Genomic DNA, 16,042 nt, shown 5'->3' on the forward strand with positions numbered 1-16,042 from the left:
CTTATTGAACATTTAGGTTGTCTCTCGTATTTTGCAATAATAACTAATCCTGCAGGGCGGTGTCCATGTTCATAGATCTTGGCAGGTATCTCTGATGGTTTCCTTGAGATAAATTTCTGGAGCAAAAGTTACTGAATTAAGGCTATGCAGATTTTAAATTTGGGGACATATATTATGGGTTGTTTTAATATAGCCTTTAGGGGGTACATGTTACCCTGTCTCCCCAAAGCTGTCCACTGAGGCACTTGTCTTTGCCTGCAAGACAAGGGCCCAGAGTTCTCACCTTCCAGTGGCTTTGGGGCTTGGCAAGCCAGTCCAGGCAAGTGGTTTTTAAACCTGCCAAGTCTTGAGGTTTTTCAGAGCATTGTAACCTACATCTCTTTCTGAGAGCCTCCTGATGCATCATAGAAAAGGTGGGGCAGGTAGAATGTTGGTGGCAGGAAGGAGCACTGGGAAAGGAGCCCAGAGCCTGGGTTCCAGTCTCCCCAGCTCCGCTTCCCACTCACCAGGAGAACTAAGAGCCCCATAGCTGTTCCTGCTTCTGGGCTTCCATTTTCTCATCTGAAAAGGAAGGGCCGACTGAATGGACTCAGGGGGTCCGTCCAGGTGTACATTACAGTATTCAGTCAACCTCATTTGACATACGACCAAACCAAGGTAGAGATTGGAGACTTGGATAAATGGAGACCAATTCAGGCAGAGCTCTCTGCCTGCCTTTTAATTCATCATGTGTATTTTCAGAGTATCTTGTATATTATCCACCTGCCTGCAGTCACTAAGGTGTTTTTTACAGCAGCCTGTGAAGCAAAAGAGTTGGAAGAATATCCTGCCTTAAAGCTAATAAAACAACCTGACTTGTAGAAAGTGAGTTGCAGGGGCCCGGTATGGTGGCTCATGCCTGTAATCCCAGCACTTTGGGAGGCCAAGGCAGGCGGATCATGAGGTCAGGAGTTCAAGACCAGCCTGGGCAACATGGTGAAACCCCCTCTCTACTAAAAATACAAAAATTAGCTGGGCCTGGTGGCACGCACCTGTAGTCCCAGCTATTCGGGAGGCTGAGGCAGGAGAATCACTTGAATCCAGGAGGTGGAGCTTGCAGTGAGCCGAGATTGTCCTATTACACTCCAGCCTGGGCAACAGAGTGAGACTGTCTCGGGAAAAAAAAAAAAAGAGAGAGAGTTGCAGGCGTGTGTGTGTGTGTGTGTGTGTGTGTGTGTGTGTGTGTGTGTGTCTGTGGTTGATTTTGAGGCCTCGTAGCTCTGGGGCTAAGCTCAAGTGTTGATTTGAAGTCCCGCCAAGTTCTGGTAGAATGATGAGGCATGAATAACTTGTAATGCACAAGGTTACCAGGATACTAACTAGAGAAAGTGCTGATTAACAGCTTGCTTTCTTAAACTGCATTTACAAGATGAATTCCCTTAGGTAACCCTAGCCCCTGCATGACTCCAAATTTGACAGTCTGTGTTAAAGAGCAGAGAATGCAGTTATATTCACCATAACCTGCTTTGATTGAACATTGAGACACAGAGAAGTAGCTCGTCCAAGGTCACATAGCTACTATGTGGTGGTCTCTGGATTCAAGTCCAGGTGTTCTGGCTCTGGAAGCAGTGTTTGTTCAGGGAAGACTGCTGAGAAACTGGTAAATGATAATTATTATACTGTGGAAAGTTCTACAGCAGTGCTGTACACTACAGCTTTCTACAGTGATAGAAATGTATTCTCCATGCTGTTCAGCATGGTGGGTGGCTGTGGAGCTCTTGAAATATGGCTAGTGCCACAGGGGAACTGAATTCTTAGTATTAGTTAATGTCAATTTAAATTAAATTCAAATAGTCATAAGTGGCTAGTGGCTACTGTATCAGATGGCACAGATGTAGAGACCTGAGGTCTAGGGGACAATGGGAGCCTGGGGCCTCCTGAGCCAGCCCTCAGGGTAGGACGGTGGGAAAGTTCTGGGAAGGCTTCCTGGCCATCAAAGTTGAAATCTGAATGGTAACTTGGAGGTGGTGGCTGCTCCACCAGGCCTGGAGGTGAGAGGGAGGAATGTGAGGGGAGGGAAATGGGGCTGGAGGAGCCAGTGGGAGGGACTGGGGGGTGAGAGGAGGGGTATGGGAGGAGGGAAGCAACACTGAAGGAGCTGCTGAGCCCACCAGGCCCCGCACCCATGCAGGTCCCGCAGGCCGTAACCCTTTCCCTAACCCCAGCCCTTACCCGGAGGGACGTGGGGGGCTGTGGAAGGGCTTTGAGCAGGGACCTATTCAGTTTTGGAAAGTAGAATGAGAAGCACATACAGGGCGAAGGATGCCAGGGGAGGTCCCTCGGAAGCTGCCGCCGTGGGTGAACAGATAGCTGGTCATAGCTGGAAGGAATGTTGTTCGAGAAAGAGACTTTGAAGGACTGAGGATCGATGCAGTATGGCAGTGAAGGAGAGAGAGGAGGGAGCAGCGCTGGCCTCAGGACCCTCAGTCTGGCATTAGGCGGTGGAGGGAGAAAACCCATCCATCCCTGACTCTTGGAGAGTTCAGATCCCTGAACCTGAATCCCAAACCTCTGTGGGGGAGGGCACACAGATGGTTGTATAAAGGGAAGCCACCATGTTTTGGTTGGACACCATTTATCCCCAGGGCCATCCGCAAGAGGTCTGGAAACTGCCCCCCTGCCGCCTGCCCTGGTTTCACCCTCAGCAATGGACTTGACCTTTTGGTTTCTAGGGGGCCCCTGCAAATTCCTTCTTCCATCACTCAGCCCTGAGGGGGATCCCCCTCTCTCAGGGATTTTAAGAACCTTTTGCCAAGGCTCCATTCCCCTGCCTGACTCCAAAGAGGGCCTGAAAATTGCTGTCATCATGACGGTTCCCATCTCCTGGGTACCCATTTATGTGCCAGGCAGTGAGCTTAACACTTTCTGAAGATTATCTGTTGATACCTCAAAACAGTCCTTGTTTTTCCAGTGTGAAAACTGAGGCTTGGATGGGTGGGGTCACTTAGCCAGGCCACACAGCTGGGCAGAGCAGAGACAGCAAGCCCTGCCCTGCGTCCCCACCCTCGCTATAAGCTGTCACTCCTCTGCCTCCCGCTGAGCTTAGCATACACAGGCACAAGCCCAGCATCCACCTTGCAGCCTCGGGACAACAAGCTGCTTGGGACAACGATGTCTTGTCCTCCACCAGAAACAACCCCTAAGTCCCCAGCATCTGGCCTCTGAATCTGACCTCTGAAGGGCATTAAGTTAGGGAATGGCCAGTTCCATCACATCTTTGAAAACAGTAAGGAGCTGGGAGCGGGCTCAGATGACCACTTCTAGCCCTGCGTCCCAGGGAGAATTCTGTCGATGGTGCTGTGCCTCTGAGTATATCAGGTGACCTTGCCTTGCAAGGCAAAAACATAACACTCCCCAGCAGGGCCTGAGTGCATCCCTACAGCGTGCTAACAGCTATCCCTATGTGCTGCCCGTAGGCTTGGAAGTTAGGCAGCCTCTTCCAAAGCTGGCTTGCTCATCTGGATCCCAAAGCCCTTTGACCTGGTGACTCTATACCTAGTAATTTCTCTTACGGGAATAATTGCAGAGATGTGTTGATTTAGCCTCAGGGGTGTTCGTCATATTATTGATTATAGTGGTGAAGAAAATCCTCAGCAACCAAAAGTCCCAGCACTTGGGGACTGGTTAATTGGAAGATGCTGCATCCGAAAAGTGAAATATTCTTCAGCCAGTAAAATGGTGATGTAGGTGAATTGATCCTGAGAAAATTCCGGGCAGGACTATGAGAGAATACTGTCTTTGGGTGATAAGTTCTTTTAAAATGTATTCTTTGTGATTTTCCGTTACTCCTAAATGTTTTACAGTGAGTAAGGTGTTATGTTGTAACTAGAGACAGAAAAGCTTCTACAGACAGTAGAATTAAGAGTGGACAGCAGCTCTTATTTGGGTCTATGAGTGTAGCCATTTAGCAGGGGTGACTGAGGGATTTATTCTGAATTCCCGTCCTTGTATACACCTCATTCACAGTATTCCCACGAACATCATGGGGTACATGAGTATCTCTAAAAGGCAAGAGAAAGAGAATGGAAAGGAGGTGACCATTTATGGGATGTTTCCTGAGTGCTGGGCCCTGTTCTAGGAGCTGTCAAGTTTGCGCCTGTGCCCTGGGGGTGACCATTATTTTCTCACTGAATTCTTGTAACTTCTCTGCAATTCAGAGAGGGAAGCCAGAGCCCTGAGGCCACACAGCAGGCTTTTCCCCAGGTGCCCACTCATTCTGCAGGACCACATGGACCACAAGTGCTGTCTCGGCTCAGTGTGGTTCCAGAGAACCTGAGAAGAGGCTGGCTCCCCTGCCTGGGAAGAAGATAAACTGCTGAGGAACAATCAGCCCACCTCCGTTAACTAAGCACCTACTGCGTGCCAGGCAGGCTCCAAGAGGGGAACAGAAACATTGGAGCATCCCAGTCTTAAAGGGCACATCTGATGAGTTGCAGAATCCTAGAGCCTGCGTCTGTGCCGTGACCTCCCACGCCCAGTTCCCCGGTGCCTAGCATGTAGTAGGAGCTCAGTAAATATCTGTTGTGTAATATAAATTATGTGTCACGTTCTGCCTGGTACAATTGATAAGTCATCCAGGGTATACAGTGGTGGCTCACGCCTGGAATCCCAGCACTGCGGGAGGCCGAGGTGGGCGGATCACCTGAGGCCAGGAGTTCGTGACCAGCCTGGGCAATGTGGTGAAACCCTGTCTCCACTAAAAATACAAACAAATTAGCCAGGCATGGTGGTGTGTGCCTGTAATCCCAGCTACTAAGGAGGCTGAGGCAAGAAAATCACTTGAACCTGGGAGGCGGAGGTTGCGGTGAGCCAAGATTGCACCACTGCACTCCAGCCTGGGAGACAGGGTGGGACTCCATCTAGGGAAAAAAAAAAAAGTTTAGGGAGGAGATATCACCATGGGTTGCAATAGCTTTGTTTAAGAAGGATGGATAGGGAGGTGGAATGATACAAACAAGGCTGCAGAGGCCAGGAGTGTGTGAGGCTTGTGTGGGTATGGTATGTAGTAAGCCAAAGAGTGTGGGATAGAGAGTTTGTTTGGAGCAAGGGTAGGGGATGGGATCAGACAGGAAATGTGGGGGCTCACTTTCAAGGGGCCTTGGATTTCTACGTGAGGACAATAGGGAACCCCGGAAGGTTTTTGAGCAGGAGATGATATGAAGCATATTCCAGCAGAATGTGCCTCCTGATCTCAAATGGAACAGAACGTAAGGAGTAAAGATGAGCCCCGTTTGTCTTTCTGGGCCAGTCTTATGCCCTAACCCCCATCTCCAAATTCCTCATCAAAAGACAGTGACTGGGGCTGGGCGTGGTGCCTCACCATGCAATGTAATTGCAATGCTTTGAGAGGCTGAGGCAGGAGGATTTCTTGAGCCCAGGAGATTAAGACCAGCCTGGGCAACATGACGAGACCCCATCTCTACAAAAAAATTTTTTTAAATAGCTGGGTGTGGTAGTGTATACCTATACTCCCAGCTACTTGGGAGTCTCAGGCAGGAGGATTACTTGAGCCCCAGAGGCCAAGGCTGGAGTGAGCTGTGATTGCACCACTGTACTCCAGCCTAGGTGACAGAGTAAGACCTTGTCTCAAAAAAAAAAAAAAAAAAAAAGGTGACTGAGAGCGTCATTCAAAGCTTCAAAGCTCAGGCAGCCAAGGCCGTCTGAGTCATCAGTGTGCCAACGGCCCATCCAAGGATTGGACTTTTGGTTTTGTCTTGAGGGCACCAGCTTCTCCCCACTCAACAAAGCACAAGCCTAAGTGGCAGCCACTTCAGTGGCCACATCACAGGGAATGGGCTTTTAATTTGCGAAGCAGACAAATGAGGGAAGACAGCAGTTCAGTCATTTAATGGGGATTTATGGCCTTTCCACCGTGTGCCAGGCTTGGCCCTGTGGTCAGTTCTGTGCTAATCAGCACCCTTGCTCCCTGCGTGCCCTCTCTGAGTGCCCAGGCCGAGGGCCGAGACCAGCAACAGACCGGGTTGCAACAGCCCAAGGGATTGATGTTGCCTGAAGCGCAGTGGTTTGGACCTGGGGGTTGAATTCCACTTCGCTGGCTGTTTACTGGCTATTTGATTTGGGGCGTGTAATTTCATGTTTTTTGTTTGAGATGGAGTGTCTCTCTGTCGCCCAGGCTGGAGTGGTGCAATCTTGGCTCATTGCAAGCTCCGCCTCCCGAGTTCACGCCGTTCTCCTGCCTCAGCCTCCCAAGTAGCTGGAACTATAGGCGCCTGCCACCACACCCAGCTAATTTTTTATATTTTTAGTAGAGATGAGGTTTCACCATGTTAGCCAGGATGGTCTCGATCTCCTGACCTCGTGATCCGCCCACCTCGGCCTCCCAAAGTACTGGGATTACAAGAGTGAGCCACCATGCCCGGCCGTAATTTCATGTTTTTAAGCCTCAATTTTATCATCTGTAAAATGGGGATCGTAATAAGATCCACCCCATGGGATTGTCGAGGGACTGTAGTTCAACCAGGTGATCTCATGTCAAGAGCTCAGCCCAATGCCTGTCCCAAGTTCGGTGCTCCATGGATGTTCTGTCTGGTGATGCGGTTGGGAAACACGGTGGTGGTAGGAACCTGGGCAAGCGGGTGCATGGAGCTTCCCCCAGCCAGATCCATGAGTCTGAGTAACACTGAAGATGAGAGAAGTGTGCCCAGGCTGTACTGTGAGGAGGAGAGAGGGCCATTGAGGTGGGGGCCAGGCGATGCCCTGCAGGGCTCCACATGCCAGGTAGGGTGACCACTTCATCCCAGTTGGCCCACTTTTAGCACTGAAAGTCCTGTATCCTGTGATATCTTGGTAAACCAGGACGATTGGTCACGCTAGTGCCCAGCCAAGATGTCTGGCCCCACTTAGGAAGGCAGCGGGTTGCTGGGATGGGTTTGAGCTGGGGGCCATGCGATCTGATTTGTGTGTCAGCCGGGACGGGGGTTCTGAGTACATTTCCTGGTAGAAATCTCACATCTGGCTTGTCTTTGCAGGACCAGCTGAAGCAGTGTTTCTCCCGGCAGCCCACTGAACCCAAGGACACTGACACCCTCGTGCACGAAGCCGGCAGCCAGTATGGGACGTGGACAGAGCAGTGCCAGAGTGGGGAGAGGTAGGACGCGTGCGACGGGATTCTGGCTGCAAAGGGGGCAGCTGGGCTGGAGTTGCTGCAGCCCACCCACCTCCTGATTTCTATATTGCTAAAACCTCCAGTCTGTAATTATAAAAGGAACCCATTCTTCTTTTAAAAAGGAAATTAGGAAGTACAAAAAAATAATAATAAAGATTATGGGCCGGGTGCGGTGGCTCACGTCTGTAATCCCAGCACTTTGGGAGGCTGAGGCGGGCGGATTGCCTGAGCTCAGGAGTTCGAGACCAGACTGGGAAACATGGTGGAACCCCGTCTCTACTAAAATACAAAAAATTAGCTGGGTGTGGCAGCGTACCCCTGTAATCCCAGCTACTTGGGAGGCTGAGGCAGGAGAATCAATCACTTGAACCTGGGAGGCGGAGGTTGCAGTGAGCCGGGATTGTGCCACTGCACTCCAGCCTGGGGGACAGAGCAAGACTCCGTCTCAAAAAAACAAACAAAAAAAGATTATGGGTCAGCCACAGTGGCTCACACCTGTAATCCCAGCACTTTGGGAAGCCCAGGCGGGCAGATCACTTGAGGCCTGGAGTTTGAGACCAGCCTGGCCAACATGGCGAAACCCCATCTCTACTAAAAACGCAAAAAAAATTAGCTGGGTGTGGTGGTGGGCACCTGTGATGCCAACTGCTCAGGAGGCTGAAGCACAAGAATCACTTGAACCCGGGAGGTGGAGGCTGCAGTAAGCCAAGATTGCGCCAATGCACTCAATCCAGCCTGGGCGACAGAGAGAGACACCTTGTCTAAAAAAAAATAATAATAATAATAATGATATATGAAATATCCAAGATAGGCAAATACCATAGAGACAGAAAACAGATGAGGCGCTGGGGTGGAGAGGGAATGGGGAGTGGCTGCTTCGTGGGTATCTGGTTTCCTTTTGGGGTGATGGAAATTTCTAGGATGACAGTGATGATGGCTCCACAACACTGTGACTGTCCTGCATGTGACCAATGGCAAATTGTATTTTACCACAGTGATAAAAATGATAAAGTCACCAATATTAAAGTTGGCAGGAGGGTGATAGAATTGAAAATGGATAAGAAAAAGTAAAAGGAAAGCAAAGGTTTTTTACAGTGCCCGAGAAAGCTGTTTTTCCCACTGACCCATGAAATATGTGTTTAGTTATGAGCTTACTTAAATTTATCTAGAATACCCCTGCAAGAGCACTGGACTGAGAGTCTGGAAACCCAGGTCTTGGTTTTGCACATGTCACTGTGTGACCCTAGGAGCCCGTTCCTCTCTCGGGGTCTCCATTCCCCAGTTCTGACTCAGGACCTGTGGGACCTGGAGTGTGGACTTAGGTGCACCCCTGAGGGGGTGCTCCCTGCTGTCCTGCAGAGACAATGCAACTTCCCCTCCTCGGGCCACCCCAGGAGCATGGCACACCCAGCCTTGGACAGTGGTGCCACCTGCTGTCTCTCAGTGCTGTTACCTTCATCCCGTGTGGATTTGCCTCAATCCACCTTACAACCCTAACATCCTCCATATGACAAGTAATAAAATCACCCCAGAGCTGACAGAAAGCACGATGAAATGCCAGCACACCTGTGGAAAGTTCTGCTCAAGGGAGCAGACTGGTGGTCTTGAGAGTAGGCCCACTTGTCAGGTGTGCCCACCTGTCCTTTCTCAAGGCGAGGGTTTCCCATGACCTGGAGGCTTTGCTAGGCTATTGGCTTAGGTGTTCTTTTTAATATGTGGATGGAGGCAGGGCAGGAGGTTTTTAATGACTTGAATTATCTGTAAATTTTCTATCTTACATTATTCCAATGACCCAAGTGATACCTGATTATATTATCATAGGAAGAGATTTCAGAAGTAGGAGAGAGCCAAGGACATGGACGCTGGAGTCAGACTGCCTGGGCTCAATCCCAGTCCTGTTGCTGGGGACAAGCTAATTTACATCTCTATGCCTCAGTTTCCTCACCTTTAACAAGGTGAATAAGAATACTTAAGTTCATGAGGCCAATTATATTAGTCTGTTTTCACACTGCTATACAGAACTACCTGAGACTGGGTAATTTGTAAAGGAAAGAGGTTTAATTGACTCACAGTTCTGCAGGGCTGGGGAAGCCTCAGGAAACTTACAATCATGGCGGAAGGTGAAGGGGAAGCAAGGCACGTCCTACCTGGCAGCAGGAGAGAGAGAACGGGAAGGTGCCACACACTTTTAAACCATCAGATCTTGTGAGAGCTCACTCACTATCATGAGAACAGCAAGGAGGACATCTGCCCCCATTATCCAATCACTTCCCCCCACCAGGCCCTTCCTCCAATTCGACATGAGATTTAGTTGGGGACACAAATCCAAACCATGTCACCAACCCTAACTTGTAGGATTGTGGCAGTTATAGGCTAATCCTCATAGGATTATTGGAGAGGACTGAATGACACATTTTTTAGCACAATGCTTGGCACATAGTAAGTGCTCAGTAGATTTTTATTAAATGACTGAATGAATAAGTGAATGAAATAATGCAGGTCCCACCACCTGCTCTTCCATAGGTAACTGCTGATAACAATTTGATCTACATCAGCACTGCCCAGCAGAAATACAACATGATGATTTGATCCTTATGCAATATATACATGTATTGAAACACCACTCTGTACCCCGGAAACGTGTAATTACTATGTATCGATTATAAATAAAAAAGAATTATAATGTAAGCTGCAAATGCAAGACATATATGTAATTTAAAATGTCCTGGTAGCTACACCAAAAGAATAAAAAGAAACAAGTGAAATTCAATTTAGGGATGTATTTTATCAGAACCAAGGGATCCAAAATACTATCATTTCCACATGTAATTAACATGAAAAGTTATTAGCGAGGCAGTTTACATTCTTTTTTTCTATTCAAAGTATTGGAAATCCAGTGTGTAAGGTATAGGAAATCCAGTGTGTAAGATGCTCACGGCATATCTCAGCTCTGTCACTTGCTCCATTGCAAGGACCCAACAACCACCTGTGATAAGCAGCTTCCGTCCAGGACAGCGCAGGGCCAAAGGATCTTGAGTGGCACAGGACTGACTCCTCCCATTCTGCACCTGGCCAGGTGTTCCAGGCAGTGCCTTAGACAGCACCTCGCTGGCACATCTTGTGCTGTTTCCAAAGAGGGTCTTCTGCTGGGATGTTCTGTCTGTTGTTACTTGGCTTATAAAACATAACCCAAGCTATGCTGCCTGCAGCATCCTTCACTTGAAATCCCGTTCTCTGAAACGTTCTCCATAACCATGTCTCCCTTCATTCCCTTTTTTGGCAGCTTGGCCACTGAGTCCCCAGATAGCAGTGCCACATCGACAAGGAAACAGCCCCCCAGCAGCCGTTTGTCTTCTCTGTCCTCCCAAACGGAGCCCACCTCGGCAGGGGACCAGTATGACTGCTCCAGGGACCAGCGGAGCACCAGCGTGGACCACTCCAGCACTGACCTGGAATCCACCGATGGGATGGAGGGGCCGCCTCCACCGGACGCCTGCCCTGAAAAGAGAGTAGATGACTTCTCCTTCATTGATGTAAGTCAGTGGCCAGGAGCATTTCTTCTTAAATGGAAATTCCAGCCTCTCTCTGTGAATTGCCACTTCAGGTGTAGGATCTGTGTGCCAGGGACCCTTGGAGTGGGTACGGAGGGCACTGTCTTTGAAATGGGACTCACTTATGCATGTATCTTGGACCTGCCATACACCTGCTGTGTGTCTTGGGGCAAATGTCTTCACCTCTCTGAGCCTCAGCTTCCTTATCCACTTGTAACCAGCATCATCAGCTCCACAGCCTCAAATACAATTGCATGCATTCAAATTAAAACTGATCTAAGCCCTTACCTGCTAGGTAAGCAGGGAGTCTGACCACTTACCCCTGGGAAGTCACCCTGAGGTTTATAGTTGCAAGCATGAAGAGGCTGGAGTTTGCTCAGAATGATTCTGCTGAACGTTCTCACTAAGGTCTTGCTTGGTACAACAGTGTCCCTGGTATCAGGGGATCCGACTGTCTCTGTAGTGGCTCTTCCAGGACAGAAAGTCCCCTCAGGCATGGGCACCTTTCATGGAGGTCCCAGGGGACAGTCCCTAGCACTCAGCTCTTTCAGGTCCCAAGCACAGCCAGGATGTCAGCTGCCCCAGCATAGCAGGTCAAACGGTCTCCTGCTCTAGCATCTTCCAGACCAGAACTTATCCTCCTTTCCCCTGGGAGCCCCACCTCCAGGGGTCAGGCAGGTCTTCCTTTTCAACCCTTGAAACCCAGGGGTGATGTCATTATTCTCCTCGCGTAACAATAGGGCTACCTGCCCACTTTCTGGGGGATGGAACATCTGCAAAATGTGAAAGGGACCCTCTCTCCTGGCAGTAAAGCCTCCCACCTACACACTTGGGCATGGCTACCCACATTTCCCCAGAGGAGGAACACCGCTGCTTTAGAAAAAGGGCTTCCTTTAGGGCTTCAAAGAGGATTCTCCTTCAGTATATGGCCAAGGTCTCTCGCTGGCACCTCTAGATCAGGGCGGAGACAAAGAAAGACACAAGTTGAGTCTTGATTGGGGAACCCCATTATATAACCATGGCCATGCCCACCTCCCTGGGTGTCATCAGGATTTAGTTAGGTGATATATTCAGTTATTCACTCAACAGACATGTATTGAGATCTTGCTGTGTGCCTTACATGCCAGCATCATGTCACTGCATCATGAACTTTCCTGCTAGAACGCTAAGTGGTTCCTTCTTGATGTCCATTATAAACAACAATCAGTGAGTGTTGACCACTGGCCCAGGCACATGTTAATAACCCCAGAGGCAAAACTGCCTGCGCTTTTTGCAAATTAGCAAATCAGAGTGGCCATGGAGTGACTCTAAATGCTGGTGTCCCGAAGCATAGGTCTAACGCTTACTGAAATTATACTGCGGTTTATGTGTGATGCCCACCACGATTTGGGTCTCCTGTGGGGATACTGAGGTTTATGTATGGTGCCAACCATGATTTAGGTCTCCTGTGGGGACGGTTTGGAGGCCAAATGGGGAGGCGGAGGCGGAGCACTAAGGAATCCAGTCTCTGTACCAGGCTGAGGATGCAAGGGTGGCACCATCTTCCCCTCCAAGCCAGCCCCTCTGTCAGTGTGATTCTGTCCTGCTCTCTTGGAGTCTGAAAACCTGGCTCTGTTAAGTGGCCGGAGAAGCAAGCCTGCCTCTAGGTGCAGCAGGCACTTTCTGATTTCCGTCTTTCCCCCTCTTTCACTGGTCCCGTGCAAGTCTCCTCACAAGATACCACTGTGGCTGGTTTGGGAAGTAGCTATGATCAGCTCCTTCCACCACCCCATTGGGACTTTTGTTACTTACCATTGTTGGGAAATGATTCATTGAAATTAGCCTGTCATCACTGACTTAGAAGGCCTTGGGTGATGGAATTTCTCCAAAGTGGACCTAGGCGGAAGAAACCAACATTTCATGTAAGAACGTGAGCTTGCCGGAAAGAGCTCTTGGCTGTGAGCCGTGGTCAGGCTCTGTCTGAAACAAGGGCTTTCCACACCTGAGCACAGGGAGTTCTCTCAGCCACTGTAGGAAGGAGGCACTCTGTTTATCTCCTTTTTATAAATAGGGACACCCAAGCTCAGAGAAGTGAAGCTCATTGCCCAAGGTCACATAACCAGGATTCGAACCCAGCAGGGTTTGAACCCCAGCTCTGAGCACTTCACTGCTGTCTCCCGGGAGAATTCTGAGCCAGGCACTTCCCATCTCCTTACTGGGGCCCACCCAGATGGTCTGTGCTCCCCACCCTTTCACTGGGGGGGCCCTCACCAACCCCCCACCTGTCGCAGCTCCGAGTGTGAGTCTTCAGGGATGCCTGAAAATGGACTCCTGATGTTTAGTAAGCTGCCCCCTCCCTTCCCACCTGCACCCTAGATTATGTGAGTAATGGAGGAATTCCACGGAGAACGTCTCAACCCGGGGACTCTGTGTGAATACAGTTGACAGAAGGATTTAGTTAGATGTTGAATCCATTATTCATTCAACAAACAAACATTAATTGAGCTCCTGCTGTGTACTGATCATTGCTGTAGATTACATGCTTGTGTGGTGGATGTCACTGGGAGGGAAAAGGCATTTGTATTATGTGCCTACTGGGTGCCAGGAAGCCAGGCACTGTACTAGGGCACTCAAGGTTCATTGTTCCACCTGACTTTTGTCATCAGCCTATGGGGTATGTTTTATGGGGAAATTTAGGCTTTGGGTGTTAGGTTACTATTAAAATGTGGAAGCCCTGGCCTAGGTACCACCTAAATAGCCTCTCATCTGTCAACGAAGCTGTGTACCGCCAACTGTGTTGTGGTACCCTCCATTGATGGTTCCCTTGATTTTTTTCCTCTTCCTCCCTGCTGCTCCCAAAGCAAACCTCAGTCCTCGACTCAAGTGCCCTCAAGACCCGGGTGCAGCTCAGCAAGAGAAGCCGCCGCCGGGCCCCCATCTCCCACTCCCTCCGGCGCAGCCGATTTAGTGAGTCCGAGAGCAGATCACCTTTGGAGGATGAGACTGACAACACGTGGATGTTCAAAGACTCAACGGGTATGCCATGACTTCTCTCCTCCTCAGATAGCACATTGAACAGCAGGAAGGATTTAGACTAAGCCCTATGAAAAAATTCCTGACTTGGAAGGCTGTAGATCATTAGAACACAATTACATAGGAAACTGATTTTTTTTTTCATGTCTTAAACACACAGGTGTTTATTTAATTGTTCATTTAATTTTTAAGTTCACTTTACTACATGGATGAGATGGGTGCATATTACAGTAGGCTTGCACTATGAGAGCTGCCACCATGAGTAATATCCCAGCCCTCGGTTCTGCTTCCCTTTCTGAGTCCCACAAAAGCCACATGTGGGCAGCCTTGGGTTCCCATCCCAGCTGGCTGCTCCTTCTGGGGCTGTCTTGGTGGGGAGAGGGAGATGGGGCAGTGGGTCCGTGCTGACCCCTGAGCCCTGCAGGGGTCAGGATCCTCCCGTGGTCCCTGGTGTGGCTCTGGAAGACGCTGGCAGTGCCCGGCCAAGGCCTCCCGCAGGATGGAAGCTGAGGGCCCTGGCTCTGGGTCCTAAGAGAACTCAGCCACCCCCTTCACATTTTACAGCAAGGGGTCGGGCAGCAGCTTTGGGATGGGGCTTCTGTGGAGAAGTGGGGGATGCTGCAGTGGTACAAAGACAGCCTCCCCCACCGCCGTCCTCCAGCTGACCATCCTCCAAGGCCAGCACTGGGCATTCAAGGGAAAGAAGGAACTCAGCCCAGAGGGTGTGGGCAGGAGAGGCCTAGAGTCAGGCCTCGACCCACAGCCCCCTCTGGGTGCCAAGTGGGAAGGGTGTGGGGGCTGGCTTGGGAACCTTACCCACTGCCCTTCCAACACCTGGATCTGTGGGCAGCGGTCCCACAAAATCCCCCTTGGGGCTCCCTGAGGAGGACTTGTGGCTGCCACTTCCACCAGGGCAGAGGACACAGGAGGGGCCAGCACTCCAAAGGGCTCTAGGGTGGGTCTTTCAAGGACATCTGCAAAGCCCTGGTGGGGAGGGGCGGCGGGGCTGTCCCACGGAGGCGCCTGGGCCAGAGGCTCTTTGGAACTCTTGCACTTCTGAGTGGGGGACTGTCCATGCTGCCCACAACCTCTAGACCATGCAGCCTGCTCATGGGTCCCTGGCAGAGAATGCCCACTCCCCAGCAGACTCAGGGCAGGTCCCCAACTGCAGGCTTCCAGGAAGGCCCAGGGTGTCCACCTCAGGCCGGGTGGTCTCAGAGGACCCCTGTGCAACCACATTAAGGAAAGCTGCAGCCCCCACCCACCCCCTGCCAGTTCAACAAGCTCCGGCTGCACACGCAGGCTCCCAGACACCATCACCCGCCTCCCCCGTTGCCCCTCCCTCATGGGGAGCCCCTTCCTCCTGGAAAGACAGCAGGTACTGTAGCCTCGCCTGCTGGCCAGGGGCGCCGGCTCAGAGGACCTGCCCTGACCTGCACGTGCTGACCAGACAGCCCAGCGTAAGGACCCGCGATCCCACGCCACCGCCCTGGGTTTACCACGGTCACCGCCACCTCTCTCACAGGGCCCCCGGGGGACCCAGCCGCGCCCGGCCTGGTGTCTGCACCGAGGGACCGCGTCTCACGCCCGGCGGCTCCTGCAGGGGAAGCCGTGGTCAGCGACTCACCACGAGGACAGGGCAGGGCGGCTGAGTGCGGAAGAGAAGCATGAAGCTGGGGGCGGGGGTGGGGGAGGAGGAACAAAAGTTGCATCTAGACAGAGGTGAACGAAACAAAACCAAAACCCGAACGTGTTCTCTCGCAGGATGGGCGCCGCCCGTCCCGGGCCCTTAGCCCGACATCTCCTCTCGCTGCTCCTTGTTCCTGCGCACCTCGGCCGCGTGCAGCTCCTCGCGCAGCCGCTCGCGCAGTGCGGCCAGGTGCGCCTCGCGGATCTCCTTGCTGAGCTCCATTTGTAGTTGAGCTTCTCCTCCGCCTGGCGGCTGAAGTTGTTATTCTCCTCCAGCGCCTTGTGCAGCACCTCCCGCTCGTGCTCGCGCGGCTCCACCAGCTGCTTCAGCACCTGCGCCTCCTGCGTTGGGAAGGGAACGGAGCCGCTTCCCCTGCCCAATGCGTTGGCCTCCAGGGTGGCACTCCCAAAAGTGGAAACTGATTTCTTGTTATGCAGAACTTATCAGAAACTAGGTAAAACAGTGTTTTGAAGGTTAGTATATTAATTGAGGCTCTTTGAGTTACAAGAGACAGAGACATAGCTTAATAAGGTTTTACTATTTCTGCTTTTATTTTGATTAAATCCACCCCTGTATTCTCTTTAGGTTTGCTCGCTGGTCTTTTTTCTGTATTCCTGAGTTGAA

The 16,042-nt window shown here is 50.9% G+C and overlaps 1 protein-coding gene and 1 pseudogene across 9 annotated transcripts in view, besides 2 other annotated features; one reads left to right on the forward strand and one right to left on the reverse strand.

Moving 5' to 3' along the window:
• Window positions 1–16,042, forward strand: part of KIAA1671 — a 244,733-nt gene that overhangs the window by 211,076 nt on the left and 17,615 nt on the right. For all 9 annotated transcript variants that reach the window (NM_001386933.1, NM_001386932.1, XM_047441556.1 and 6 more), the window contains 3 exons: window positions 7,029–7,147; window positions 10,449–10,698; window positions 13,557–13,731. In NM_001386933.1, the coding sequence (NP_001373862.1) occupies window positions 7,029–7,147; window positions 10,449–10,698; window positions 13,557–13,731 (544 nt within the window). The remainder of the gene's footprint in view (window positions 1–7,028; window positions 7,148–10,448; window positions 10,699–13,556; window positions 13,732–16,042) is intronic.
• Window positions 5,351–5,645: a silencer, noted in NCBI's record as "tiled region #2564; K562 Repressive non-DNase unmatched - State 24:Quies". NCBI's record gives its function as "represses a minimal TATA promoter and a strong SV40 promoter by Sharpr-MPRA in K562 cells {active_cell/tissue: K562}" and the evidence as "EXISTENCE:reporter gene assay evidence [ECO:0000049][PMID:27701403]".
• Window positions 8,411–8,705: a silencer, noted in NCBI's record as "tiled region #1539; HepG2 Repressive non-DNase unmatched - State 12:CtcfO, and K562 Repressive non-DNase unmatched - State 13:Ctcf". NCBI's record gives its function as "represses a minimal TATA promoter and a strong SV40 promoter by Sharpr-MPRA in HepG2 and K562 cells {active_cell/tissue: HepG2 | K562}" and the evidence as "EXISTENCE:reporter gene assay evidence [ECO:0000049][PMID:27701403]".
• Window positions 13,875–15,765, reverse strand: STMN3P1 (STMN3 pseudogene 1; annotated as a pseudogene).

This window comes from Homo sapiens, chromosome 22 (assembly GCF_000001405.40).
Source record: "Homo sapiens chromosome 22, GRCh38.p14 Primary Assembly".
NCBI lineage: Eukaryota > Metazoa > Chordata > Mammalia > Primates > Hominidae > Homo > Homo sapiens.